The sequence below is a fragment of the Homo sapiens genome, chromosome 6 (assembly GCF_000001405.40).
Source record: "Homo sapiens chromosome 6, GRCh38.p14 Primary Assembly".
Classification (NCBI taxonomy): domain Eukaryota; kingdom Metazoa; phylum Chordata; class Mammalia; order Primates; family Hominidae; genus Homo; species Homo sapiens.
Genome location: NC_000006.12, coordinates 44,270,450 through 44,298,014, shown reverse-complemented (window position 1 = coordinate 44,298,014; position 27,565 = coordinate 44,270,450). Strand labels below are relative to the sequence as shown.

At 53.9% G+C, this 27,565-nt stretch overlaps 2 protein-coding genes across 10 annotated transcripts, besides 2 other annotated features; one reads left to right on the top strand and one right to left on the bottom strand.

The window, feature by feature from the left end:
* On the top strand, positions 317 to 19,281 carry DRC5 (dynein regulatory complex subunit 5). Of its 9 annotated transcripts, none has more exons than XM_047418272.1 (6): positions 317 to 864; positions 5,198 to 5,537; positions 10,097 to 10,466; positions 11,483 to 12,051; positions 15,456 to 15,905; positions 17,625 to 19,281. In XM_047418272.1, the coding sequence occupies exons 3-6, from the start codon at positions 10,190 to 10,192 to the stop codon at positions 17,832 to 17,834; spliced, it is 1,506 nt and encodes a 501-aa protein (XP_047274228.1). In that variant the 5' UTR covers positions 317 to 864; positions 5,198 to 5,537; positions 10,097 to 10,189; the 3' UTR covers positions 17,835 to 19,281. The 9 variants fall into 9 exon arrangements, with proteins under 9 accessions (XP_047274228.1, NP_872345.2, XP_047274229.1 ...); XM_011514338.3 differs by lacking the exon at positions 5,198 to 5,537 and adding an exon at positions 1,469 to 1,701 and having other exon boundaries at positions 571 to 864; NM_182539.4 differs by lacking the exon at positions 5,198 to 5,537 and having other exon boundaries at positions 317 to 356.
* Positions 324 to 403: a silencer, noted in NCBI's record as "silent region_17263". NCBI's record gives its function as "represses an Ori minimal core promoter by ATAC-STARR-seq in GM12878 lymphoblastoid cells {active_cell/tissue: GM12878}" and the evidence as "EXISTENCE:reporter gene assay evidence [ECO:0000049][PMID:35858748]".
* Positions 18,571 to 27,565, bottom strand: TMEM151B (transmembrane protein 151B). Its single transcript, NM_001137560.2, has 3 exons — positions 27,138 to 27,565; positions 24,509 to 24,949; positions 18,571 to 22,612 (listed from the first exon to the last, which is right to left on the bottom strand). Exons 1-3 carry the CDS (start codon positions 27,270 to 27,272, stop codon positions 21,488 to 21,490), a joined length of 1,701 nt encoding a protein of 566 aa, NP_001131032.1. The 5' UTR covers positions 27,273 to 27,565; the 3' UTR covers positions 18,571 to 21,487.
* Positions 21,814 to 22,606: an enhancer, noted in NCBI's record as "H3K4me1 hESC enhancer chr6:44243146-44243938 (GRCh37/hg19 assembly coordinates)". NCBI's record gives its function as "activates a minimal SCP1, AML or CMV promoter by ChIP-STARR-seq in primed H9 embryonic stem cells {active_cell/tissue: H9 hESC(primed)}" and the evidence as "EXISTENCE:reporter gene assay evidence [ECO:0000049][PMID:30033119]".

The following is a 27,565-nucleotide window of genomic DNA, read 5'->3' as shown; positions in this document are numbered from 1 at the left end:
TACCAAGAGAGCACAAGCACTCCAGACCAGCAGCCCTGCCCGACCCCCGCCTCCCGCAGAAAGCCCACCCGTTCCTAGACACGTCCCACGGAAGCACAGGGCATAGCGCAAGGCCACAGTCCCACTACCCGCAAAGCGGCCGCTTCCACGGAACCGTCCCGAGGCCGGGCCTGGCCACCCTGCGCGCGAGTAAGCCGCGTGCCTGGCGCGCAGCGGCAGCGGCAGCGGAGGAAGCAGCGGCGCGCTCGTCCTCCCGGCCCGGCCCGCTCCTAGCAACGCGGGGCGTCCCCAACGACAAAGACCTGCGCCGGCGCGCGGGACTCTGCGTGAGGCGAGCGCCGGGGCTCCCGGAGCGGGTGAGGCGACCTCCGGGAGTGGGGACACCCAGCCCCGGTCTCCCTTATCGGGGCCCCCTCTGGCCGGCTGGGCCCGGGAGCCCCTCTAGCGTCCTCTGCCCACACCGGCCCGAAGCCCACGGGCGGCCATTGCCTGGGTTGCGTTTTCCGTGGCGGGGAAGCGCCGGTCCGTACCCACGGGAGACCCCACGCCCTCCACGCGAGGACGCCCCGCGCCTCCTCCCCACCACAGTCACTGTCTGCAAACCGTCTGGCCCGGGGCTGGGGATCCGAGTGAGGCGAGGGGAGGGACTGGGAAGAAGAGGGGGAAAGTGGGGCATCCGTAGGGCGTGGAGGAGAGCGGTCCCAAGCCCTGGGGCCCTAGGCTTCTCCGAAAGGCCGTCCGTTCCCATCACCCGAGGGCTGTAATCCCTCCCGCGGGTGCGGAAGCTTCCTCATCTCCCTACCTCCCACTGCACTGCCGGTTTCCCTGGGTTACCAAGGAGAAGCCAGCGCCTCTACACCCCAGGTAGGATGGGGGAGGGACTCCTGGCCTTTGGAGCTGAGCTTCTCTGCTGGGGTGTCTGAGCTGAAGGTAGGGAGGAGGGGTGGGAGACTCCAGAGCCGCTGGAGTCACTTTTGAGACAACAGACCTGAGTGGTCAGGAGTTGGGAGGAGGCCAGCCCAGGGGCTGTGGTAAGTGAACTGGCGGTTTCACCCAGCCCAAGTCCAAGCACACGGGCCGAGGCTCAGTTGGAGAAAGTTTTTTGCCCTTCCACAAGTGGAATTCCCAACTTGGGAGTGACTTACCCCAAAGTAAGACATGGTGGGCATGAAGGATATGGAGGTGGCTGTAGACAAAAGCCCAGAGCCCTGAGAACAGAGGAGGGCTCTCCTGAGGGGATCTGGGGTGGGAGCGGCTGAGAAGGCAGAGAAGGCAGTCAGAGCAGTGGGTGCAAAGCCAGCTCCTGGGGAAGTGTCCCGGGCACAGAGGCGCTGTCTGCCCAAAGAGGGCCGGGTGTCTCCACTTCTCCACTAAGAGGAAGGGAGGAGGGGACAGTTGAGGACCAGAACTGTGATGCACAAGAAGGTGAGAATGCAAACCTACAGCATCTTCCTCGTGTTCCCATTAGGGCAGGTGGAAGGAGCTCCTACCCAGAATGGTTAGATTTAGCTGGGGACCTGAGGAAGGATGGAGAAGACCTGAGACTTCCTGTGGAGGGAATATGCCAGGGGCAGGAGAGCACCACTCTGCAGCACTCTGTTGGGCTCCTTGCACCCTCCAAAGGATGCAGGCAGTGGTCCAGCCTTGCGGAAGTCTCCTATACCCAGCAGTGAACTGGAAGAGGGAGCCTGGACTATTTAGGTCAGCACCAAGGGTATAACCCTGGGCTCCATATTGGTGAACAAGAGAGCTCATGAGCTGGAGAAAGTGGGAGACCCACTGGAAAAGTGCTATGAATGACTGAGTTGGGAGCAATTTATAAGCAACCCCAGCATCTCATGGAAGTAAGAGCATTAGACAGACACAAACTAAAACCTCAGCTTCTCCACTTACTAGCTAGTGACATTTAGTAAGTTACTTAAGCTTTCTAAGTTTCAGTTTCCTCATTTGTGAAATGGGGACAATAGTGTTAAATAATAATCCTCAATAATTAATTTGAGATTTTAATAAAATTATGTAGTAAGGTATCTAGCATCTTCACTACAATATCTAACACACATCTTGAGTGCTGGCTCTGGGCCCAGCACTATATGAAATGTCTCACACACATTAGCTCCTTAATCTTCTGAGTAATCCTATGAAATAGATACTATTAAGTACTGTCCCCACGTTATAGATGAAGAAACTGAGGCAAGTGGGGACCTGCCCAAGGTTGCACAGATAGTGGGGGGCACCGTGGAGATTTGACTTGAGGCAGCAGCACAACTCCTGAGTACTTAGCCAGCTGCTGTCCTGCCTCCTGCTATGTACATGTTATTGAAGGCCTAGAGCTCTCAATAAATCATAGCTATATATAGCCAAGGGTATGGTTCCCAGAACACCTGTCCACCAGATTCAAGCCATCAGAAATGAGGACAACCCTGGCCAAACTGGAACATCTTGTCACTTTCTATTACCTGTGCTTGGGCATGGAAAGAGCAGTCCACACCCAATCCTTTGAGTTAATGTCCTGGTATAGACGTTGTTCCCTGTGTGTGATTTCAGGACCCTGGACCCTGGTCCTGAGGATGCAGAGTAGGGGCCCAGGGGAGGAGGATTGGCCTTTCCCTGGGGACTGTGGTCCCAGGTTAGAGACACAACCATGTGAAGCCAAACAAGCTGGTGAGGCAGGCCCCAGAGAAGTGAAAGTCCACTGCACGTGTCCCCACTCTCCCACTTTCCCCCTCTGAGAGCGCAGCACATCCTTGGATGGAGACACCAGGTGGTGGCACAAGACGTACCCACTCCTGGTGGCCCTGACCTCTCTGGAATGTCAGGATTCCTGCCCTGCCCATGTTCAAGACTGGAGTCTTGAACATGCTCCTAGTCTTCAAACTCTGGCATTCTCTGACTGGCCCAACAGGTTCCCAGGGAAAGAAAGCTCCGGAGAGGAAGGTGACCCTTCAGCCACCTCCAGGACTGCCCTCTGTGGGTCCTTGGGGACTGTCCATGTGCCCGGGGCCCCCAGCTATTGGGTATCCACCCATCCCTGCAGGCTCCCAGGGAAGATAGTGCCACCTACTTGCACCCTCAGCTGCAGGCTGATGACTGCCAGGCCAGACTAAGACCAATCTGTGAAACAGGCAGAGCTCTCTCAGACTCCTGTCTTCTCCTTTACCCACTCCCCACCTCCTCTCCTTTCTGTGGTTATTCTCCTTGCCTCCTTTCTTTTTCTTTCTTTCTTTTTTTTTTTTTTTTTTTTTGAGACAGAGTTTTGCTCTCATTGCCCAGGCTGGAGTGTAGTGGCGCAATCTCAGCTCACTGCAACCTCTGCCTCCTGGGTTCAACCTTCATTTTTTTCCCCTAATTATCTTATAAACCACCTCTTTCAGCCTCTCAAGTAGCTGGGATTACAGGCATGTGCCACCATGCCTGGCTAATTTTTGTATTTTTAGTAGAGACGGGGTTTCACCATGTTGATCAGGCTGGTCTTGAACTCTTGACCTCAGGTAATCCACCCTCCTCGACCTCCCAAAGTGCTAAGACTACAGGCATGAGCCACCATATCCCGCCTCCCTTGCCCCTTTTCTAACTTTGCTTTTTGTATCTGAAACTCATTCACACTAAGGTGTGGAATACATATATCCTGATATCTTATATGTAGTCATGTGTATTATATATGTAATTTCTGCACACTTAAACTGTCAGAAACAATATATTACAACTTCTACTTTTTAAAAAGTTTGCTACATTAGGCTGGGTGCAGTGGCTCACGCCTGTAATCTCAGCGCTTTGGGAGGCCAAGGCGGGCAGATCACCTGAGGTCGAGAGTTCAAGACCAGCCTGACCAATATGGAGAAACCCCGTCTCTACTAAAAATACAAAATTAGCCAGCCGTGGTGGTGCATGCCTGTAATCCCAGCTATTCGGGAGGCTGAGACAGGAGAATCACTTGAACCCAGGATGCAGAGGTTGCGGTGAGCTGAGATTGCGCCATGGCACTCCAGCCTGGGCAACAAGAGCGAAACTCTGTCTCAAAAAAAAAAAAAGTTTGCTACATTAGTGTCAGTATACATTTTATGATTTACTATGCTTTTGTTTGACCTAAAATGATGAGATATGTTTTTAAAAAGCAGTTCAAGGTTAACATATGGATATAGGCATACAAGTATTGATATTAAATTTTGTTTCATTTAGGGGGAAAATGCATTTACCCTAACAGGGATGAAGACTGTACATTAGGGCCGTGAAATTCCCCTAGTGGAGTGCCAAAGGCCTGGGAGCGCACTTAGCCCGGGGAGGCCCTCCCCACTTCCCAAGGAGCAAGAATATGCTTTCTTCTTGCCTAGTGGAGGGCAGGAACAGTGAGGGGAGGGGGACATACTGAGTGACTGTGGAGGGGTAGTGTATTGTGGCTAGAGGTAGGAGACCTGCCCTCAGACGCTGGCCCCAGCTCTCATAGGTGTTTTAGGGCCAGTCATTTCCTGTTTCCTTGTTTCTTCATCTGTAAAATGGGGATAAGAAAGCCCATCCTAGCTCCATTATAGGGTGGTTGAAGAGTCACATGAGAAGATTTTTTTTATTTTTTAGAGACGGCATCTCACTATGTTGGCCAGGTTGGTCTTGAATTCTTAGCCTCAAGCAATCCTCCCACCTTGGCCTCCCAAAGTTCTAGGATTACAGGTGTGAGCCACCACACCCAGACTTTTTTTTTTTTTTTTTTTTTTTTGAGAGGATAGTTCTGAAAGGACCTTGAAAGGACCTTGTAACTGTTAAGTGCTGGACAGTTGTAAGGTGCTGATACTGTCCCAGCCCTGGAGAGATGGGATGTGAGACTAGAGGCTCAATGTAGTCAAGAGAGGAAGAGGCCACAGGAGTGAATCAGGTCCTGTGAGTAATAACCTGGGGGCCTTTGGCCATTCTCAGCTATCCCATTGAACTCTTTCATCTACTGATTGAGGATTTTTCCCATATTTTCACTCACCAAACTGTGAGCCTTTTGGTCAAAATGGGGCAGGACCTTTTGGTCAAAAGGAGTAGAAACCCAACTCTTAGCTTTGGCAAAGGGACTTATTAGAAGGCTGCCAAGTTAGCTCTCAGAGCTGAAGGCACTGCCAAAGAGCCAGACAGCTCTGGGAGCCTCCAGAACTAGGCATGGGGATTGAAGATACCAGGATGCTGTCTCTGTCTATCTATCGTTTCTGCTGGTCTCCCCCAGGCTTGATTCCCTCCCACCGCAAACAGACCTTGTACGTGTGGAGAGAAATGACTTCCAGCAGCAGGAGATCCAGATCCTTCAAGGACATATGTCCTTCTGTCTCCCTCCACTTGGACAAATCTCAAGAAGGACTCCGATTGGCTTATATCAGATAGCCACCCCCCAACAAGTTGCCCTGACCAATAGACACTCCTTTTGGCCAGAATCTATTATCAGAAGCCAGTGGAGCCGCCCCAAACACCAGCTACCTCGCCTAAAGCAGACCTACCACTGGGCTAGAAATTGGAGACAAAAATGAGGAGGAGACAGCCCCTACACCTCAAGAAGCTCACAGTCTAGTGTGGGTGTGGGGAACGGGTGGGCAGTCAGGTTACTGGAGTGATGCAGGTACTGGAAAGATGGGGTCTGACAACGGGAGGGGTTGTTTTGGGGTATCAGGGACAAAGAAGCACCTTGCCTTCAGAGAGGAAGTGGTGCTTGAGCTCAGACTCAGAAGACCAGTGATTGTCCCTTTCCCTGGCTGAGGTGGTGGGAAAGGCATTTCAGAGGGAACAACTTGAGCAAGGGCTGGGCAGCATGAACTGGGCTGCAATGTCCCAGATGCAAAGAGGAGCTTATTTCCAACAAGGTGTCCAGCCACGGAGGGCCTTACACACCAAGGTGAGGAGGCTGGATTTTACCCAGTGAGCAGTGGTGAGCTGCTAGAGGGCTTACATGGAGCCTGCCACAGCGGCTGTGTGAAGGCTAGATGTGAGAGAACCAGACTGGATGCCAGAGACCACATGCCTAACAGCTGAAGCTGTGATCCAGACAGACACTGGGGCCCTGAGCTAAGGCAGCAGCAGGAAAGGAGAGGCTGCCTGGGTGGGAGACAAAACTGAATCAGTAACTAGATGGTGGGGTGGGGCGGGAGGGCTGAAAGAGAGAGAGGTGACTCCCTGGTTTCTGGTGCCGGCATCTGGATGGATTGAGTTTGAGGGACCTAGGCAGCATCCCAGTGGACTTGAGTCTGGAATGCAGATGTAGGAGAGTCTGGCATTACACCACCACCCCCTAGCCTCACCATCCTGGTAACAGTACCCTCTGCTTCTCCTGGGATGTCACAGCTGGGAAACCCCACCTGGAAGAGGTGAAAGCTAGAACCCATCAGAAGGAATGAGTGGACGACCATGGCGGAATTCTGAGGGACCTTGGCACGTGAGAGATGGGCAGAGGGAGAGAAGTCTGTGGTGAAGACTTTTGGAAAAAGAATGGTCGGAAAGTAGGAGGAGAGCCAAGAGAGTGGCACGCCAAAGGGTGTCCCCCAAGGGCAGGGGTCAGAAGGCAACCTGCCAAGGGAGGAGCCATACTCCACATCCTCATAACAGTGACAGCGGGGCAGCAAGGAGTTAGTTTTGCTCGTTATCCTTTTAAATATACTTTGTTTTCTATGTTGTTAGTTTAAAAAGTAGATTTTTTTAAACACTTAGAACTAAAATCCTCCTTAGAAGAATCTTGTGTGTCTGGTAATAATTTGCCTGCCAAAATATTTTTGTGATATCCATTTTTAAAAAATCAAGAGATGATTAACTGAAAATTATCAACTCTGATCTTATGCAATTAATTTTTTCAACATTTGCCTTAAAATGACATCAGGCCTTATGGTATGGATGTTCCTATAAAGGCTGAAGGTAGTAGGGGCTCATTTTTATACCAGCCATGCACACGGCAGCCATGTGATATGGAGCGAGGCCCTGCCCCTTCCTTCTGAGAAGTTGGTTCAGGGCCCTGGAACATGCCCCGATGGGTCCTGCTGTGTCATGCCCAGAGGCAGGCTGCAGGCACAAAACAGCAGCAAGACCAATTAGGACCAGATCGTAGGAAGAACTCCAGGTCCTGAAAGTGAGGTGCTAGACGGTGGGACTAGAGTCACCTGATTGCAGAGGCATCCCACCTGGCCCCAGGTGGGGTTTCCCAGGTGTGGCTCCCCAGGAGAAGAAGGAGAAGGGACTGCCTGCCAGTATGGTGAAGCTGGATGGTGCTGTGAGGAATGACTAAAGAGTCAACTCCAGGGCAATGCACACCAGCAACCTGGGGCTCCCCCTGCCAAGCCTGGTCCTGCTCCCTGGGTGTGGCCCATGGGTGTCCAGGGACATATCTGGGACCAAGGGAAATTATAGAATGTTTTAGGCCAAAACCAAGCAGGAGTTGGGCTGGCCTGTTGCCTCTGACCTTCCTCCTTTGCCTCTGTCGTACTGTCTATGAGCCCCCAACACCACCCTGCCTCCTTGCCCTTCACATCACTCCTGGAAATAGGGAAGGGCCTCAGAAACTTTGCACTCACCCAAAGATACCATCTCAGGTCAGCACTCAAGAAGCAGGTCTCCTGGATGTGGTCTCTGCAGCCTCAGACCCCTGCCCCTCATAGTACCTTCACTCTCCACACACCCTGTATGCTTTACAATGATCAATATTAACCGACCATTATCTCAGGGGGATCTCCACTACAGCCCATGTAGGAAGATATTATTATCCAGTTTCTCAGATAAGGAAACTGAAGCTCAGATAGGTTAAGTAACTTGGCCAAGGTCACAAAGCACATAACTGACAAAGCCAGAAATGCAAAGTCAGCCGGTACCACTAAGCAGCAACCCCCTCCAGCCCTACACTCTGAGATGCCATTAGTCAAAAAGCACTATCTGGTTATTCCACAATTCTGGACACAATCTGTGTGTGAATTTGCATTTGATTTGCATAGGGGATGTCACAATACCTAGATATCTTTCCCGCACTATCTCTCTCCCTGCCACCCGCCTCTCAACCAGGCTTTTCCTCCTTGAGATGCCTGGCAGGCTGGGAAGCACCATCTGGTCCCTCCCTCTGCCAAGGACGCCTTTGCTGGTTCAGAGTGTTCCCTCCCACCGGCCACTACCCAGTGCACTGAGTCGTGAGGGTGCACATCTGATGGGAAACTGCCTGGAGGAGGAACTAGGTGCCAGCAGCCCCATTTGGGCTTTCCTCCAGCAGATCTCAGGGCAGGAGTGCAAGGGTGCAGGAATGGGCAAATGGGGGAGGGTCCCCGGACCAAGACACATCCTCTATCTTCTGTCTTCAGCCCCAGATTTAGCTGTCTTCTCGCCTCCCACGCTTGCCCACTGCTGTCTGGAATGCTGGGAGGCTGGGAGAGCTAGAGGAAGACTGGATGGGGAGATGGAAGGGAAGGGACCTGGAGTTTGAGCTCTCAGTGGGAAGGAGGAGAGAAGGGTGCTGGCACCTTGGGCAGGGCATGGGTCTTGTTCCCCTCTCCTTTCTCTCTCAACCTGCACTCTCTGAAACAGTAGCCACATTGAAACGGTAGGCTCAATGTGCCCATTGAGCCATCAAATTTTGAAGACCTCATATGAAAACATAGTATATAAAATGTCGCATTAATAATTTTATATTGATTATATGTTTAAATAACATTTTAGACATACTGGGCTAAATATAAAATTAATTTCATGGTCAGGCACAGTGGTTCACGCCTGTAATCCCAGCACTTTGGAAGGCTGAGGTGGGTGGATCACCTGAGGTCAGGAGTTCAAGACCAGCCTGGCCAACATGGTGAAACCCCGTCTCTACTAAAAATACAAAAATTAGCTGGGGGTGGTGGCAGGCGCCTGTAATCCCTGTAATCGGGAGGCTGAGACAGGAGAATCACTTGAACCCTGGAGGTGGAGGTTGCAGTGACCCAAAATCGCGCCATTGCACTCCAGCCTGGGCAACAAGAGCAAGACAAAAAAAAAAAAAAAAAAAAGCTAATTTCACCTGTTTTTCTTTTTTTTTTTTTTTTTTTTTTTTTTTTTGAGACAGAGTCTTGCTCTATCACCCAGGCTGGAGGGCAGTAGCACAGTCTTGGCTCACTGCAACCTCTGCATCCCAGGTTTAACTGATTGTCATGCCTCAGCCTTCCGAGTAGCTGGGACTACAGGTGCCTGCCACCCTGCCCAGCTAATCTGTGTATTTTTAGTAGAGACAGGATTTCACCATGTTGGCCAGGCTGGTCTCAAACTCCTGACCTCAAGGGACCCACCCACGTTGGCCTCCCAAAGTGCTGGGATTACAGGCATGAGCCACCACGCCCAGCCTTGTTTCTCTTTACTTTTTAAAATGTGGGCACTAAAGAAGTTAAAATAGCATATGTGGCTTGCATTTTGGCTTGCATTATATTTCTGTTGGCCAGAGCTGTTCTCAACCCCATCCTACGGATCAGGCAGTTGCTGTTCTATGAAATACTTAGTGCAGGGTCCTGTTATGAGCTGAATGGCTCTTTATTATATCTGTGTCTTTTGGCAATATACACCCCTCACCCTCAGAGGGCCGGTCCAATGTAGGGTTCAGAGCATGAATTTGACAGACTGAATTTAAACCCACCCGTGATACTTCTAAGCTGCATGACATTGGGCAAGTCAATTAGCCTCTCTGCTTCAGTTTCCCAGCAGAAAAATGGGAATAATACAAGCACCTATCTGAAAAAGCCTTTTCTGAAAAAGGCTTTTCTGAGGACACATGAATTAATAGGCATAAAGAACTAAAAAGATTGTCTGGCACAGAGCAATTACTGTAATTGCTGTAGAGCTATTATCTAAAATTTGGGGCTGCTCCTTGCTAGTTTCATGTGTCAGATACTATATTATGCCCTTTGGATGCATTATTTTATCCACTCCTCCAAATAATCCTACTGGAACTGCGACCTTCATTTCTCAGAGGCAACATCTGAAATTCAGAGAGGTTCAGTAACTTGCCCAAGGCCACACAGATAACTTGGATCTGCTTCACTCCAGGGACTGATCGTTAAGCACTATTCTGTACCACCTCTCTTAGTAAATGCCCACCAAGACCCACCAAAGTAACACCTCTACCCTCTTCCTTTTGCTCCAGATCCCTACCTGTTTCAAGGACCTGCCAGTCTGAGAAGCTTCTTGTCATAAGGCCATCCAGGGGCCACGCACCCCTACCTTGCCAGCCTCCAGCATGCAGGATACCGTAACGACATCAGCATTGTTGGACCCCAGCCACTCCTCAGTCTCCACCCAGGACAATTCCTCCACTGGAGGACACACTTCAAGCACAAGCCCACAGCTCTCAAAGCCTTCAATCACACCAGTCCCTGCAAAGTCCAGGAACCCACATCCCAGGGCCAATATCCGTCGGATGCGCCGGATCATTGCTGAGGATCCTGAGTGGTCACTGGCCATCGTGCCCCTCCTCACAGAGCTCTGCATTCAGCACATTATCAGGAACTTCCAGAGTGAGTCTGTCCCTGCTTTAGGTGGGCAGGAGAAGGCCAAGAGGGGGGCTAGGTGGGTGGGGACTGTCCGGAGCCAAGACTGCAGAAGCTGGGTCCTGGGGCAGCCCCTGCTCTCCCGTATGGCATCCTCATACCCACTCAACACTTCCCTTCCACCCAGGGCCAAGACAGTTTCTCCTTCTGTTCCCACTGGCAGGTCCCACCAGACTCCCACCCACACTGCACCCTCCATGCCTCTGCCCTCTCCTTGCCTTTTCTACTCTCTCCAGCAAAACCCAGCCTGAGCCATATCTACTTCCTCCTCCAGAAAGCCTTCCCAAGTGAACCGCCCTCTACTCTGATGGAGTCTTCCATGCCATGTAAGGGCTCTTGGTTTGTTCCATATTTTGTGCTCTGTAATATTGATCCTTTCCAAAGATGGACTGCCAGCCTCTCCTACCAGATGGGGCGCTGTCTGAGGACAGGGCCATTATTTCATCTACAGCAACTATCATCACCCAGTCTCACTCATTTTACTTGTTTATTGTCAGCCTCCCCTCACTGGAATGTAAACTCCAAAAGGGAGAGCCCTGTTTGCTTACTCTTCTATCTCCAGCACGTGGGACATAGTAGTCTCTCATAGTGCTACCTCCAGTGTCTGGCACATAGTAGGTGCTCAAAAAATTTCTTGTTTTGAAATGGATGAATCAAATAAGATTGGAAGCCTCTGACCTCAGGGATTGTATCCCCCATCAGACCAGGTGATAATTGAGAGTTGGACCTGAGAGTCTTCCTCAGTCTGGGAACTCCCTGAGAACAGATGCTGAGATGTCCACCTTCAGGCAGGGAACATCCCAAAGCTAAAGGCTGTGTCCCACCCTCTGCTTGAGCCCCCCTGAGAGCAGAGGCTGTCTATCCCCTAAGCAGGGAAGGGTCTCTCCTTTGCCTGGTGCTCCCAGGCAGGCCCAGCCTGAGGCATCATGTTGAGGTGTCCCCCAACACTGTGACCCCCTGCGCTCCTTCCTCTGTTCCCAAAGAAAACCCTATCCTGAAGCAGATGCTCCCGGAACACCAGCAGAAGGTCCTGAACCACCTGTCCCCTGACCTACCACTGGCTGTGACCGCCAACCTGATAGACAGTGAGAACTACTGGCTCCGCTGCTGCATGCATCGCTGGCCCGTGTGCCACGTGGCCCACCATGGCGGCAGCTGGAAACGCATGTTCTTCGAGCGGCACCTGGAGAACCTGCTAAAGCACTTTATCCCAGGCACCACAGACCCTGCGGTGATCCTCGACCTGCTGCCGCTCTGCCGGAATTACGTGCGCAGGGTCCACGTCGATCAGTTCCTTCCGCCGGTGCAGCTCCCGGCCCAGCTCCGGCCGGGCGACCAGTCCGACTCAGGCAGCGAGGGAGAGATGGAGGAGCCCACCGTTGACCACTACCAACTGGGCGATCTGGTAGCTGGCCTGAGCCACCTGGAGGAGCTGGACCTGGTGTACGATGTCAAGGACTGCGGCATGAATTTCGAGTGGAATCTCTTCCTCTTCACCTACCGTGACTGCCTCTCCTTGGCAGCCGCCATCAAGGCATGCCACACCCTCAAGGTACTGTCTGCTCCCAGCCTTCCCCCCACCCCTTCTCAGCATCTCTCAGATTCCCTCTCCCCTCCTCTTCCTCCTCTATTATTGCCTTCTTCCTATTTCCTTCTCTTTCATTGGCCAAGTGTTTTTTAATGCACCCTGCACCAAGATACACGGTTCTGGGGGTGTAGAGATGAACAAGGCGCTGCTCTCCCAGTTCACCAGTTGGTTTCATTGAACAAACAGCTGCGCTCCAGGCCCTGTCCTAGGTGCTGAAGATTCAAGGATGAGCAAGATTATCATTTGTGCCCTCTGTAGCTAACAGTCTGATGGGATAAAGGCACTAATCAGCAATCATATAAACATAAAATTGATACTAGAATAGGGTTGCCAGATGTAGCAAATAGAAATACAGGACATCCAGTTAAATGTGAATTTCAGGTCCAGGCACGCTTGTAGTCTTCCAGAGACTGAGGAGGCTGAGGTAGGAGAATCCCTTGAGCCTCGGAGTTCAAGCCTGCAGTGAGCTGCAATCACACCACTGCACTCCAGCCTGGGTTACAAAATGAGACCCTGTCTCCAAAAATTTTGAATTTCAGATAAACAGCAAAGAATTTTTATAAGTATGTCCCGAATATTCCATGGGGCGTTCTTATTTATCTGAAATTTATTTTTAACTGGGCATCCTGTACTTTTTTCTGGTACCCCTGAATTGGGATGAATGCTATAAAGAAGAGATACTCTTATGAGAGATTGTAAAGGAGCATTTGACCTTGCAAGGGAAGGCTTCCCTGAACAAATGTCACTTACATAGAGATTAGAAGGAGGAGGACGAGTTACAGTCTCAGAGGGAGGAGCGTTCCAGACAGAGGGAGCAGTGCATACAGGCTCTATGGGCAGAGTGAACATGGCCAGCTCAAAGAGAAAGAGAAGACTGTGTGGCTGGCGCAGAGTGTGAGGTGGTCAGCCTTGCTGGGTGAAGGAGGCTTTGTCCAGGAGGCTATCTTTATCCTTAGGAGCTCTGGGACACCATCCAAGGGTTTTAGGCAAAAAAGTAGGTACCATTACTGGATTTCACATGTGAAAATGTCACTCCGTCTGTGAGGGAGGATGGCCTGGGCAGGGCAGCAGTGGACATGCAGATTACCTAGGAGATCACTGCCAAATCCAGGTGAGGGTGAGGGTCATTTCAGCGAGGGTAGTGTCTGTGGAGACTCAAAGGAGTGGAGAGAGTCAACACATATTTAGGCAGACATGTGTCTGGCATGCACCTGGCCACACTGGCACAGGGAGGATCTGAAGGAGAAGGAAGGAGAAGGAGGTGAGGTGCAAGACCTCTGGCTTGTGAGGCTGGATGGCTGGAGGGACCATGTGCAGAGACAGGGAATGTGGGAAGAGGATCAGTTTTGAGGGGGAAGAGTGTAAGTTTCAGTTTGAGGCATCTCAAAGAAGGGGTCATTTCGTTAGTTGGGTAGAGGGTCCGAAGCTCAGATGAGAGGTCTGAATTGAATGTGGGAATGTGTGCCATCTTCATGAAGGTGGCAGTTGCAGCCCTGGGTTTGGATGGAGTCTCACAGGGGAGAGCCAAAAGCAAGACAACAAGAGGCCTGGCATGTGGTCTCAGTGGAAGAAGAAGAGCTTGCCAGGAAGCCAGAGGGAGGAGGAAATGGGGAAACATGGCATTGTGTCACAGAGCAAGGGAGGGGTATGTTTCAAGTAGAGGGAGTGAGCAACGGGGTGGAATAGAGCTGAGGACTGGATTTAGTGAACATGGAGGTCACTGAGGGGGAGCTATTTCAGTGGAGTGGCAGGAGCAGAGGCCAGATAGCAGTGGTTTCTGGGGAGAGTGGGAAGTGAGGAATGGGTGGCTGTGATCAGCTTTTTCAAGAACTTGGCTGCGAAGGGGAAAAGGTACAGCCATAACCGATGAGAGCTTTGGGTTCCTTCAGAATAACTCACATATGTTTAAAACCAGTGTAAGGCTCCATCCAGTTGCAAGAAAGGGGATGAATGTAGAAGAGAGGCACGGGTTCATAGACCAATAAGTCAGTGCTTGGTATCAGGAAAATGACAGGTTCCCATTCAATGACTGAGAAGGCAAGAGGAGAGTTCACCTGCTGAAAGAGGGGGCTCAGCAAGGAGGCCCCTGAATTCTGAGGAGGCTGCAAAAAGCTGAAATAGTTGTTGTAGATTATAAGAGGGTATTTTGGCCAGAGAAATATAGTTAGATTGGCATGCAGCGTTACAAGCCTATTGGTGTTTCCGGTGATAGCAACCAGTCCCATCAGCTGATGTTTTCTATTTTGTCAGTTGCTTGCGCACAGGCATGCAGAAAATAGAGAGTGGGGCTGATCCAGGGTTAGGGCTTTGCCAGAGAGACGCAATGAAAAGAGAAGAGACACAAAGGACTCAGCTGGGTAAGAGGGGTATAAAAAGGAGTGAACCGAAGGGTAGAGAGAGAGAGGCCAGACACTCAGAGGTCTCAAGGGAGAGAGAGGAGTGGGACAAGCCAGCGGGAAGGTGAGGGGGAGAGGTTCCCATGGACAATATTCATACTGCCAGCCCCATCCCCTTTCCTTCATTCCTTTATCTCATCCTTTTCCTGCTTCTCCACCTCCCCACTGTCTCCCTGGTTCTTGCCCTGGCAACCTCCTTCAAAGAGGTCCTCTCCTTGCCCTGGTGGATCTTGGCTGGGAGAGGAGGATGCAGTGAGGGGCTGAGGCCTCAGGCAGGCTTGGATTCCAAACCTGTCTCAACTGCTTCAATCACTGCATTACTCTGGGGAAATAATGTAAGCCTCCATTTTCTGTCTGTAAAATGGAGAGAACTTTCTCTTCTTCATCGAGATGCTGAAGGTTAGAGATAATGGTTGTGAAAGACCCAAGCGGCCGGGCGCGGTGGCTCACGCCTGTATTCCCAGCACTTTGGGAGGCTGAGGCGGGTGGATCACGAGGTCAGGAGATCAAGACCATCCTGGCTAACACGGTAAAACCCTGTCTCTACTAAAAATACAAAAAATTAGCAGGGCGTGGTGGCGGGCACTTGTAGTCTCAGCTACTCAGGAGGCTGAGGCAGGAGAATGGTGTGAATCCGGAAGGTGGACCTTGCAGTGAGCCAAGATCACGCCACTGCACTCCAGCCTGGGTGACAGAGCGAGACTCCGTCTCAAAAAAAAAAAAAAAAAAAAAGATAAAAAAGGAAGACCCAAGCAGCATACCCAGCATGTAGTAATTGCTCAATAAACAGTGATCTTTCCTCCCTGCTACCTGCCACCAATTCTACACTACTCTGCCATGCTGGTAGGCCTGGCCCCCTCCAAGACCCAGCCAGGTGGCCAACACTAGGTGAGCCAAGTTTGCCAAAGATCTAGGTGGGCAGGCTGATTATCCCTGGCTGGCAGTTGCTGTAGACCCTCTGCCTGCCCACAGATCTTCAAGCTGACCCGAAGCAAGGTGGATGATGACAAGGCACGCATCATAATTCGAAGCCTTCTGGACCACCCAGTCCTCGAGGAGCTGGACTTGTCACAAAACCTCATTGGAGACCGTGGTGCACGAGGTGCTGCCAAGCTGCTGAGCCACAGCCGCCTGCGTGTGCTCAACCTGGCTAACAACCAGGTGCGTGCACCCGGTGCCCAGTCCCTGGCTCACGCTCTGGCACACAACACCAACCTCATTTCCCTCAACCTACGTCTCAACTGCATCGAGGATGAGGGTGGCCAGGCTCTTGCCCATGCCTTGCAGACCAACAAGTGCCTCACCACGCTGCACCTCGGTGGCAATGAGCTGTCTGAGCCCACCGCCACACTCCTGTCACAGGTGCTCGCCATCAACACCACACTCACCAGCATCAACCTGTCCTGCAACCACATCGGGCTGGTGAGCCACCTATTCTGGGCTTGTGAGGGTGGGTGTGGAATCCAACTGCCAGGGGTACTTGTGGGATAATTGTGAAGATCACAGAGTTTACATACTACATACTGCATCAAGTATGCACACATACTGTGTATCCCAATGATTATTTTTCCTTTAATCCTTACAGTTACCTAAGTAACTGTATATTAACCCTAAGCATATTTAACCCTAAATATATTTAAGTATATAACTAAGTATATTTAACCCTACTTTCTAGATGGAAAACTAAGTTTCAGAGAGGATAGTGAGTTGCCCAAGGGCATCAAGTCAGTAGCAAGTGGCAAGGCTACGATTCAAACCCAAGATTGATTGAAAGCCTGAGTCCTTTCTAATAGACTGTGTCTCTAAAACTTTCTTAACCAAGTCTGAGAGTAAGAAATGCAATTTACGACCAGGCACAGTGGCTCACGCCTGTAATCCCAGCACTTTGGGAGGCTGAGGTGGGTAGATCACCTGAGGCCAGGAGTTCGAGACCAGTCTGGCCAACATGGTGAAACCCCATATCTACTAAAAATACAAAAATCAGCCCAATGTGGTGGCATGCACCTGTAACCCCAGCTACTTGGGAGCCTGAGGCAGGAGAATTGCTTGAACCCAGGAGGCGGAGATTGCAGTGAGCTGAGATCGTGCCCCTGCACTCCAGCCTGGGTGACAGTGCGAGACTCCGTCTCAAAAAAAAAATGCAATTTACATGAACACTGACATAAACATAATATTGAAATTTATGACGTGATATATGCTGATATTTTCCTTTACATTCCATTCTATTGTATTTTTTAAAATGCTTCTGTGACCCATTAAATTGACTTTGCAACACACTACTGGGTCACAACCACAGAATGGTAGCATTCTGCCTCCCAACGTGAAATTCTTTCACATTGGGGCTAGCCCACCCAGCCCAGCAGGGGTTGGAGCTGTGATGACCATTGAGCAGGGCCCTCCATTAGGTCACTGAACCCTCTACTAAACCTCCCCATGAGAACAGCCTTGCTCACCTACACAGGCACATACACGCACACACACGTGCATGCGCGCACACACACACACACACAGTTTCTAGAGGGGGTGCTGTTGACTGCAAGTAATAAAAAGCTTAATCAGAAATGGCTTAAGCAGGAGGAATATTCAGTGTCTCCCACAACCAGAATTAGAGGGTTGTAGGGTCGGTAAACCCCTGGGTTCAGTGCTACCCTCTGCTCTGCCCACCCCAGTCTCATGGCCAATGCCTCGCTAGTGCTTCTGTCAGTCCCAAGATGGCTGCCACAGTTCTGACATCTCATACAGGGACATGCCCAGAGGCAGAAACCGGGAGAACACCTGCTCCCTTTTCTTCTCTTTTTGGAATGAGGAGAAGCTTCCCAGAAGCCACCCTCTCTCAGCTTCCCCCTCACATCTCATTAGATTTGTCCCACATGCCCATGGCTGAACCAAAGGAATGGAATTATCTTCATTGCCAGAGATTCATGTTTTTCAAACTAGTAGGGTTGAGATGTCAATTTAGTGGGTATTGGCTACCATTTTTCAAATGGAAAAGAACAGAATATGTCATCATGCGTCACAAATAGGTTAAGTATTGTTTTGTGAAACTTTTGTTTTAGTCACATCTACCTGAAAATGTGTAGTATGTGTGTCAGATCCTGGGTAGTGATGTAAATGACCCCTTCCTTTGCACCCTTCTCCCAGGACGGTGGGAAGCAGCTCCTGGAAGGCATGTCAGACAACAAGACCCTCCTGGAATTTGACTTGCGCCTGTCAGATGTGGCCCAGGAAAGCGAGTACCTCATTGGCCAGGCCCTCTACGCAAACCGAGAAGCAGCCCGCCAGCGGGCCCTGAATCCCAGCCACTTCATGTCAACCATAACTGCCAATGGCCCTGAGAACTCTGTGGGATAAAATGACCTGACTTGGATCATGGCCCCAGCCCCATCCCTCATTTCATACCCCTGCCATGCCTGCTGCAGAGTATCACACTGGTTCAGAGGGAGCGGGGAGGGGGACTGTGAATAACCTTGGAGTGATCAAGGGTTGTATGGATGGAGACATGAGGCAGGGAAGGGAGCCTGGCATGGGGGAAGAAAGGGTATGCAGTAGGGACCCAGCCTTTGTGCCCAGGGAAAGGATATTACTGGACACCCACAAATGACCAACTTCTTTCAGGAACAGGGAAGTCAGAGAGGTGTCTGAGGGACTGTGCCTGCCAGATTCTCCCGTTGGGGCTGCCTGCCTCCCTGACTCCCCACCATTTTCTTCTCTACCAAACAGATCCTTGATCTTCAAACACACACACACACACACACACACACACACACACACACACACACACACCCTCTGGCTACAGCAGGGCTATGCCTGGCTCTCTCTGCCACCCTCATCCCTGTAGATGCATTTCCCTGTTGCTTGACTCTGCTTTAAGTGATCCAGTTCTACAGGCCACGCCATCCCCTAGTTCCCCAACTCCCAACCTGGGAAGGGGACAATGAGCTGACACCAGGGGCTCAGACCCAGTGGACTCCTCTGGGGAGGCAACTGTAGATGACAACTTCCAGGGAAGGATGACACAATCCCTGCCACCCACCCCAGAGAGCTTCCCTGGGAGGGAGGGAAAGAAGTGCCACACTGGGACAGGAAGTCAGTGAGTCATCCACGACTTTATTATCCACCAGTTTGATTTGTACAATCTTTGCGCTTAAATCCACGACAAAAAGGCCACAGTGTGATGCACCCAATTGACAGAGACCTGTCTTCTCCCCAGCCAGGCCCAGCCCACCCCACAAGCCCTTGTCCCCAGGACACATGGAGCCTTCCAGGTGCCCTACATGAGTCCCCCATCACTCTGTAGCTGTCCACCCTGGGGCCACACCTACAGGAATCACATCAGCCCCCAGGGCCACAAGAGACCTAGCTGACTGATTCAGGCTGAGCGCCATTGCCCATCCTCCTTGGGCTGATTCATTGGCCCAGAGCCTCCAGAACTGTGTCCCCAAAGGGCAGGTCATGGGCTACAACCCCAGTCCAGGAGTGCCTGCTCTCCAGGGACTCCTTCCGCTAAGCAGGCGCTGAGCAGAGCACCAAAGGGGGCTTGGGAGTGACTGCATGTGTGTGCCTGTCTAGGCAACCTAGAGTCTGTCTGTGCCTGACACCCTCTGACAGTTCCGGAGTGCAAACGTGTAGGTGTGAGGGTGTGTGTGTGTGTGTGTGTGTGTATAGCCACAGCTGCTAGCAGAAGTTCTAATTAGAGAAACAAGAACATTCAGTGTAAAGTTTAATTTTAGAGATTAATTAATTTTCTGGTTTTCATTTTCCCTGGCAATCAGTAAAGCTACCAAGAAAATAGACCAAAGAATTGGTTTCTCTCTAAGTCTGTGCATGTGTGGGAGATGAGGCTGTCTGAGACGACCTAGGCAGAAATGGTCAATACAGGCAAAAATAATAATAGAGGTCCCCCTTCCCCTCTTGTGAGACCAGGCTCTGTCTCAGGAACAGGCCTGAGGGAGGAGGAGCCACGTTCCTCCTTCCTTGGAGCCCTGAGGTGGCCAGGCTGTCCCCACACAAAGCATGACATCCAGGTGCCAGCTGGCTAAGAAATGGAGCCTGAGGCTGCAGCTCACCACCTGTACCTCACAGATGTCCATTCAGAGGAAAGAAGGGTGCTCCAAACGCCAGGCCCCCAAGGAGCACAGACTCAGGGTCCAGGCAGGTTCAGTGCTAGTAGGCAGGTGGGCACTGCTGTCCAGGAAAACCTGGTGGGCAGCTGTTTCCCCTGCCCAAGCCTCCCTCTCTCTAGCCTCTTCTCCCTCCTCACTCAGCCATCTCTACCTGAAAGTAAAGCTAAACCCTTTAGAAGCCATGGGCCATGGTATCCCCACAATTTGGGCCCCTCGCACTCCCCGCTAGGAAGAAGGGAAGGGGAGCCAGAGGCGATGTTGCATAGGTGGAGGCCACACAGTTGGTGGTGCAGGCCTGGCTGGGCTGAAGGAAGATGAGAGGGGCTGAAGGAGGGTAAGGAGGAGTTCTGATGGCTCAGGCGAAGTAAGAAGCATCAGGGGTGAGAGATGTGGGTGGCCCAAGGGTTATCCTCTCTAGCCTGAAATGTGAGCTCAATCCCTGGGTGCTAAATCTGCTGGGGAGACTTTAGCCAGGGGAGTTGGCAGGGCAGGAGGGCTGTTCACAGACATGCACACTGAAGCACATCAGGGTGGAGGTGGTGGGGGGAGCACACGGAGAGAAGGCGGTGTCAGAGCTTTAGGGGAACAGGACGTGGGGCCAGCGCCCTGGGGTGGTGGCAGGATGCCCCTTTGAAGACCCTGCGACACACAGCAGGGCTTCAGCTCATAGGATAGGGAAGGATGGAAGGGTTGGGCAAGATTTAGAGAATGCTTGCCTCTGACCCTGCCATTGGAATTATTTCTCCAGTTGGGGCTTGTGACAACGTCCTCAGTCCCCCAGAGATGTGTTTGAGCGACAAGCACACTCCACTCCTCCGCACAGGTTTAGGGAGGCAAAGGCCGCCCCCACAGACACCCCACCTCTGGAGGTCCTTTTCCTCTACCCTCCACTGCCCTCTCCTCTCTTACTCCCACCTGCTTCCAGAGGTCCCCGTTGCCACCCAGGTCTATGTCATGCTCTCTCCCCTTAGTCACTCGTGCTGGCCAGCTTTAACGAGTGCTGCCCGGGTGGCATCTCACTCTCTAAAAGGGGTATACACTCAGAACCCAGGTGAGGAGGCCCCTGTTGGGAGGCTGAGGAGTTTAGAGAGAGGACTGAGGTACACAGTCCTCCACATTTCACTCCCCTCCCCACTGCACCCTGGCAACAGCTCTGCAGGACTGGGGAGCGGAAGGTGAGTGATGTCTGTGCAGTGAGCACAGTCCCTCTGGACCTGGAGTGGGGGCCCAGTTAGATAAACAACAGTGGAGGGAGCGGCAGAAAGGAAACCCCAATCTTGGGGTCAGCGCCAAGAAGAGGGCAGCAACATTTCCACGGTGTTGGATGGAGGCCTAGGGCTGACACCTGGCCCCAGCCTCAGACCTGCTGAATGCATTAGCTAGTTGGAATCCAGCCTGCTGGTCACCAAACCATTGCCCCCTCCATAGAGAGAGGCCCCAGGGGAGTGAGGCCACGAAGGAAGGAAAGCCCCAAGTTCCCTTCTCCACAGCCTCTAAATCTCCCATCCGCATGCCAGGGCCTCTCCCTTCAGACAAGGCCCAACGCGGGGCCCACGGCACGGTTGTCATCTAACAGAAGATCTGTTGAAGGGCTGGACAGGAGGGAGGTGTCCCTTTAGGAACTCAGGGTTGGGGCTGGAAGAATGACTCTGCCAGGGGGATCTCGGGGAGCAGCCGACCCCCTCCCACCCATCGGTCTCTTTATGTACAGGGACAGCGGGGGTCTCGGCCCCATCCGGGCCTGTCTTGCGGCCCTCACCTCCCTTTCCCTGCCCCCCGCGCGGCCTCAGTCACCGTGGTGACTCGCCCTGCGTCGCAGAGGGAGCACAGTCCGGCGAGGGGCAGGCGGGAGGACGGCGCGGGCCACTCCGGGGCCGGAGGTCACAGTGAGGTCTCTACGCAGGAGCCGTGGCGGTGCAGCGGCCGGTGGCTGTGGCCCAGACACCCCTCCTGCCGGTGGACGATGAGGACCGGAAAGTAGAGGGCGTCGTGGTAGGGCGGCGGCGGCCCGGCCTCCTCCTCGTCGTCGTCCTCGTCGTCCCCCATGCTGGCCTGGCTGGACAGCCGCGTCTGCTCCGTGGGGCAGCTGGCCTCGTTGACGCTCCCGCTGCGGCTGCGCCACAGGCAGCTGCGCCGGGAGCCGTAGAGACGGCCCAGCGAGAAGCGGCTGCCCCCGCAGCCCGCGCCCCCACCGGGCCCCGGGCCGGCCCGCGGGCTGGCGCAGATGCTTAGGGCGCTGCGCGAGAAGATAGACGAGCTGCTGACGGCGCGCTGGCAGTGCTCGCAGCTGCGCCGGTAGGGAGCCACGCCCGCCGCGCCCGGGCCGCCTACCCCACCGTAGCGGCACGAGGGCGCGTAGCCGCCGCCTGCCCCGCCGCAGCGCGTCCCGAGCCCCGCCAGGTCCATGAGCACCGCCTCAGAGTAGCTGGGCACCAGCTGCTGGTTGGAGCGGATGTGCCACTCGAGCTCCGTGCTGTCTACTGTGTTGACCCGCGGCAGGCGGTGGGTGAGCGGGGGCAGCAGCTCATCGCTGGGGCTGAGGCCACCGCCTGCGCTGCTGGCCGAGCCCGGGCCCTCCAGGCCAAATAGCTTCTCCACGTGGTAGTGCGCGTAGGCCGTGCGGTACTCGGCCAGCACTCGCAGCGGCCACGACAGCGTGAGCAGCGCCGCGGCCCAGAAGGCCGACGAGCAGGCGTACCAGGGCGGCCGGGCCGGGTCCGGGAAGGCCACCATGAACTCACGGAAGTCCACGTTCTTGAGGTGCATGCCCTCGCGTGCCTCCATGTAGTCGTCTAGGCCCTCGTTCTCTGCGAAGAAGCGCGCGCGCTGGCACAGGTACGCGTTCTCGGCCTCCACGCTGGCGAAACTGAAGCACTTGGTGAAGCGCAGCCGCGTGGCCGGCGCGCCCTCCAGCCCCACCAGCGTCTTGGACACGTCGCGAACGCCGCAGCGCGCGTAGTCGAACTCAGCCTCCGCCACGTGCGTGTTGACGCGTTCGTGGTAGACCTGCGGCGCGGGGGGCAGGCGGCGGGGTCGCGGGGAGCCCGTCATTGGTGCCCGCTTCTGCCCACTCACCCTTTCCCGCCCCATCTGTGCTCTGGTTGCCTGGTCGGACCCTAAGTCTGTCTTGGTTTAGGTGCCGGCTGGAGCTGGTTAGGATCTTTCCGTCTGACTTACAGGGCAACTGACGCCCTCTGTGTAATCAGACGTGATGACCGGACTAGAACCAGCCCTACCTGTGCGCATTTAAATTTTTTTTCTTTTTCTTTTTCTTTTTTTTTTTTTTTTTTTGAGATGGAGTCTGGCTCTGTCGCCCAGGCTGGAGTGCAGTGGCGCCATCTCGGCTCACTGCAAGCTCCGCCTCCCGGGTTCATGCCATGCTCCCGCCTCAGCCTCCCGAGTAGCTGGGACTACAGGCGCCCACTACCACGCCAGGCTAATTTTTTGTGTTTTTAGTAGAGACGGGGTTTCACTATGTTGGCCAGAATGGTCTCGATCTCTTGACCTCGTGATCCACCCGCCTCGGCCTCCCAAAGTGCTGGGACTACAGGCATGAGCCACCGCCCCCGGCCGCGCATTTAAATTTTAACTAAGCCCTGCTTCCTCTAGGGGTCAGGCCCTGGCCATGAACTGCCCCTCTGGCCTGCCTGATCCATTTGCCACTGCCTCTGTTTTCCAAAGTGCCCCCACATCACCACAAACAGCCTCCTCTTCTTCTTTCTTCCCTTTTACAATTGTGTTTCCCAATGGGTTCCCCAGAAGCACTCCCTAAAGAACCCCTCTATCTCTAGTCTGCCTGTTCACGCTGTAGCTATCATCAGCCTCCTTCCTGCTTCTCACCCGCCCCAGGCTTCTGTCTATTGATCCTTATACTGAGACAGATGGCCTGCATCTGGGAACGTCTCCTCCAGGACCCCAATATGTCTCATCCTGGCGAGTCCACAAAGTGCTGATTGACCTGCCCACCCTCAGTGAGACTTCCTACGCCCACCTCCTCTTAGACCCTTGAACTTGACATCCAGGAAGCTGGGATTGAGCCTAGCACTACCACTTAAGAGCAGCAGACTTTGGACAAGTCACTGAGTTTAGGTGTCCATACCTGTGAAAGAACTCAGTAGCAGTCACCTCACTGAACAGGTAAGAGCATGCTATGATACTGGGCATGTGAAGCCATCTCCAGCCATTAAGCACTATTTTTATTTTTATTTTTTTTTTTGAGATGGGGTCTTGCACTGTGGCAATCACAGCTCACTACAGCCTCAACTGCCCAGGCTCAAGCGATTCTCCCACCTCAGTTTCCTGAGTAGCCGGGACTACAGGTGCATACCACCACACCAGCTACTTCTTTTTATTATTTATAGAGATGGGGTCTTACTATGTTGCTGCCGGGTGGGCTGGTCTCAAACTCCTGGCTCAAGAGATCCTTCTGCCTCACCAAAGTGCTGAGGTTACAGGCCTGAGCCACCACACTCTGCCATTAATCACTAAGTAGATCCATTAAGCACTAAACAGTATAGAGATCCTGGAGCCAGATTGATTGAGTTCAAGTCTCATCTCCACCACATACTGCCTATTTGACCTTAGACACATTACTTAAACTCTCCAGGCCTCAGTTTCCTCATCTGCAAAATGGGAATACCTGCCTACATCATAGGGTTGTTATGAGGGTTAAATAAATGATTTGATGTGTGTAAAATACTTAGAGCAGAGCCTGGCTCCTGGTCGGTTTTTGCTGTTATGATTATGGTTGTTGCTATTGCCCTGCTGTTGCAATGCTCATGGGAGCTCACTGCTGCCTTTTGCTCCTCCCACCTTCCCCCCAGGGAGGTGGGGAGGGAGTGAGGCAGCACGTAAGTGCCACCTCCCATGTTGAATGTCCTGCACTCCCCACCAGCTCCTCACCTGGGTGGTGGTATAGGCGTCTCCATTGCGGTATCTGGTGACCTGGCGGGTGCGGCGGACATAGTGGTAGCTGATGGCCTTCCACCAGATGCAGGGCGTGGCTTGCTGCATGCGGCCCACACGTTCCCGCACACTGCTCACATCAACACGGTGCTGCAGCTCATGGCGGGCTTGGCAGTGCCAACACTCCACCAGGTAGACGGCGTACAACATGAGCAGGAAGGCCAGGGGGATGTAGACATAGCCGTTGGAGCAGGGGCTGTCATGGTACATGAGGCTGTTGCCCTGGTAGGCGCTGCTGAAGGTGAGGCGCGTCACTGTGGTGACGTGGCACCAGGCCACTGCCCCCAGGCAGCCGTACATGAGCAGCGAGAGCAGGAGGCACTTCCAGTGGGACTCACGGCAGAGGGACTTGGTGAAAGAGGGCTGGATGGGACGCTGCTGCTCAGGTGGGCAGGGAGAGGGGCCAAGATGAGTGGGAAGTGAGAGCAGGCAGGACCCAGCACAGAGATGGATACGGGGATGGAGGGGCAGAGGCCAGCACCAGAGATAACAGGCAGAGAGAAACAGGGATATGGAGAGAAAAGGTGAGACCAAGATGGGAGCCAGGGGCCAGAGGTAGAAACAGAAGTGACACAGAGCAAGCCAGAGGACAGGAAAGGGGACCGGAATGCCAGTACAGGAGAGTGCAGAGAGAGACACCCCAAGAGGCAGAGAAGGATCAGAGCCAGAGATAGAGGCCCAGGCAGCAAACACAGATGGATAGGATGGTACCCAGAGAGCATCCGAAGACAAACACAAAAATGGCAATGAAACAGAAGATGTGGACAGGGAAGACAGGGGAGGACAGACAGACAGGCATCAGCGAAGGAAGGTCCCCAGCCCAGACCCCTTCCAGGTCCTCTAGAAAAGGGGGAGGGACCCACTGACATCACTTCCCCACTTAACAAGTGGGGCCCTCACTTCCAGATTTTTTTCAGTCCTAGGTTCTAGAGGAGCTACTCCCCTCTGACCCATCCACCTCCCTAACCCTCACAATTAGCCTAACACGTCCTTTGGATAAGGGCCTCCAGAGAACCCCAGGCCCAGTCTCATTCCCCATGTTCTGGACCCTGGTTCCCCTGTGAGTCTCCCTCCTGCACCCTGACATCCTTCCCTTTGTCCTAGGATGGGAGGGAGGGGGCTGGGGTCCCTGAGCGGCAGGCAGTCCAGGAGGAGGTATCCAGAAGGGCAGAGGCATGTGGCTGAGGAGAGGACAGGCATAGGGGATGTGGGACTGGGGTAGCGAGGACAACGTTTGAAGCCCAGCAATTTATCAAGAGAAAATTATTTTTGGTACTCTCCTGGAGCCTGTCTGTTAAAGCTCCTGGCACATTCTGTCCCAGGGTTGGCCCAGGAGTTGTTTACATGTCTGGCTCCCCACTACACTGGGTACTCCTGAGGGCCCATGCTTCATTCTCTTTGCATCCTAGGTGCCTACCATGGTGCTGGCCCCCAGCAGCCACATCCTAATTGAGTGTTGAGTTTAATTTCTTGTAGTGGCCTCTGTTTTCCCACCCCTCCTCTGTGCTGTCTAGCTTTAGGAACCCATCCCCCACCACACACACACACACACACACACACACAACCTCCTGCTGGGATCCTGACTTACCCCCTCAATTCCTCAGGCCTGACCTAGAGGCCAGCCAGGAAAGAGAGGAAAAGAGTGGAAAAGAAGGGTACAGTAATAGGCATCGGTCCCTGGATCTAGAAGTATGGATAGTTAGGCGAGCTAGGAAATAGCACACAGTACATGTGGACAAGGAGATTAGGGTACATGTGCCTTTCGGGGAGCCTTGTCCTTAGGAGGTATGAACATACGGGCCCCTTCGTGTGCCTACCTGGTTATGTGCTTGTCCCCATGTGGGTACCTCTGAAAGGGGCTTTACCTGCAGGCCCATCCCCGCTTGTGTGCCTCTGCCCTAGTACAGGGTGCATGCGTGTGCACAAGTGTGCATGGGAGGCTGGAGTGGGGGTGCTCCTGGTACTTTCCTCCGTCTCTTTGTCTTCAGGTTCAGAGGACTGAGTACTAGGGACCCCAACTAGGGATATGAGGAAGCAGCAGGAGCCTCGTGAGAGAGAGGTGCACACCCCCCCCCACACACACACACACACACTCCCAATGACCACAGGCGGGACCCCCCGTACACATCTGACCTCCTTAGGGTCCCAGATCAGGTACCACCACCACTTCCCCATGGTACCCTCCTCGTTCTGTAGCCCGTACAAGCCGCCCTTCCTGGCCTTCAAGGTAGCATCCTCCTCTGTGAGACAGGATCCCCGCCACCGTCCCCACCCCGGTAGAGCATAGCCCCCACTCTCATAAGCCCAGGATCCGCGAGGCTCCGCCCCTAGGCCCCTCCCCCTGCCCGGGACCCCTGAGCCCCGCCCCCGGCGCGGCCCCTTCCCCGGCACCGCGGACAGCTCCGGCCGCCGGGTGGGGGCGGCGGCGCGGACTGCGGCTGCAGCGGCCGGCTCGGGGTGCGGGGCGCCGGCCGCGCTGCGGCGGAACCAGCGGGGGACGCGTGCGATGGGGGATGGGGGGCCAGGCTGCGGCCGCGCCCGGGGAAGGGGCGCCCTAGACTCTCACCTCCTCTCGGGCGGGGCCCTCGTCCGCCGCCGCCGCTGCCGCCGCCGCCGTGAGCTCCTCCGAGACCCCGGGGCCGCCACCGCCGCCGCCGCCGCCGGCGGCGCTCTCTCCCGCGGCCGAGCCAGGGGGGGACATGGCGTAGAGGGGGCGCGTCGAGCTCAGGACCTCCCGGGGGGCTGCCAGGGGCCGGGGGCATCCTGCGCGGGCCCTGGGGAGAGGACGGGAGGGGGCGGGGCCCTCGCTGCTCCCCACCCCCCGCCGGGGGAGGGGGCCCGGAAAGGGCACCGGGAGTAAGGGGCTGGGGGCTGAGGGTGGGAGGCAGGCTGGGGGGCCGGGCCGGGGGGGGCCGGGGCCGGGGGCGGGTGTCACCTTGAGGCCCTCGCGGCGCCGCTCCGCCTCCCGCCCGCTCCCGCCGCCGCCTTTTGTCT

Coding starts and splice junctions, on each gene's coding strand:
- DRC5 (NM_182539.4), top strand. CDS start 10,190: ATGCAGGATACCGTAACGACATCAGCATTGTTGGACCCCAGCCACTCC. Junction 10,467..11,482: donor CATTATCAGGAACTTCCAGA/GTGAGTCTGTCC, acceptor CTGTTCCCAAAG/AAAACCCTATCCTGAAGCAG. Junction 12,052..15,455: donor AGGCATGCCACACCCTCAAG/GTACTGTCTGCT, acceptor GCCTGCCCACAG/ATCTTCAAGCTGACCCGAAG.
- TMEM151B (NM_001137560.2), bottom strand. CDS start 27,272: ATGTCCCCCCCTGGCTCGGCCGCGGGAGAGAGCGCCGCCGGCGGCGGC. Junction 24,950..27,137: donor AGGGCCCCGCCCGAGAGGAG/GTGAGAGTCTAG, acceptor CCACCTGAGCAG/CAGCGTCCCATCCAGCCCTC. Junction 22,613..24,508: donor ACGCCTATACCACCACCCAG/GTGAGGAGCTGG, acceptor CCCGCGCCGCAG/GTCTACCACGAACGCGTCAA.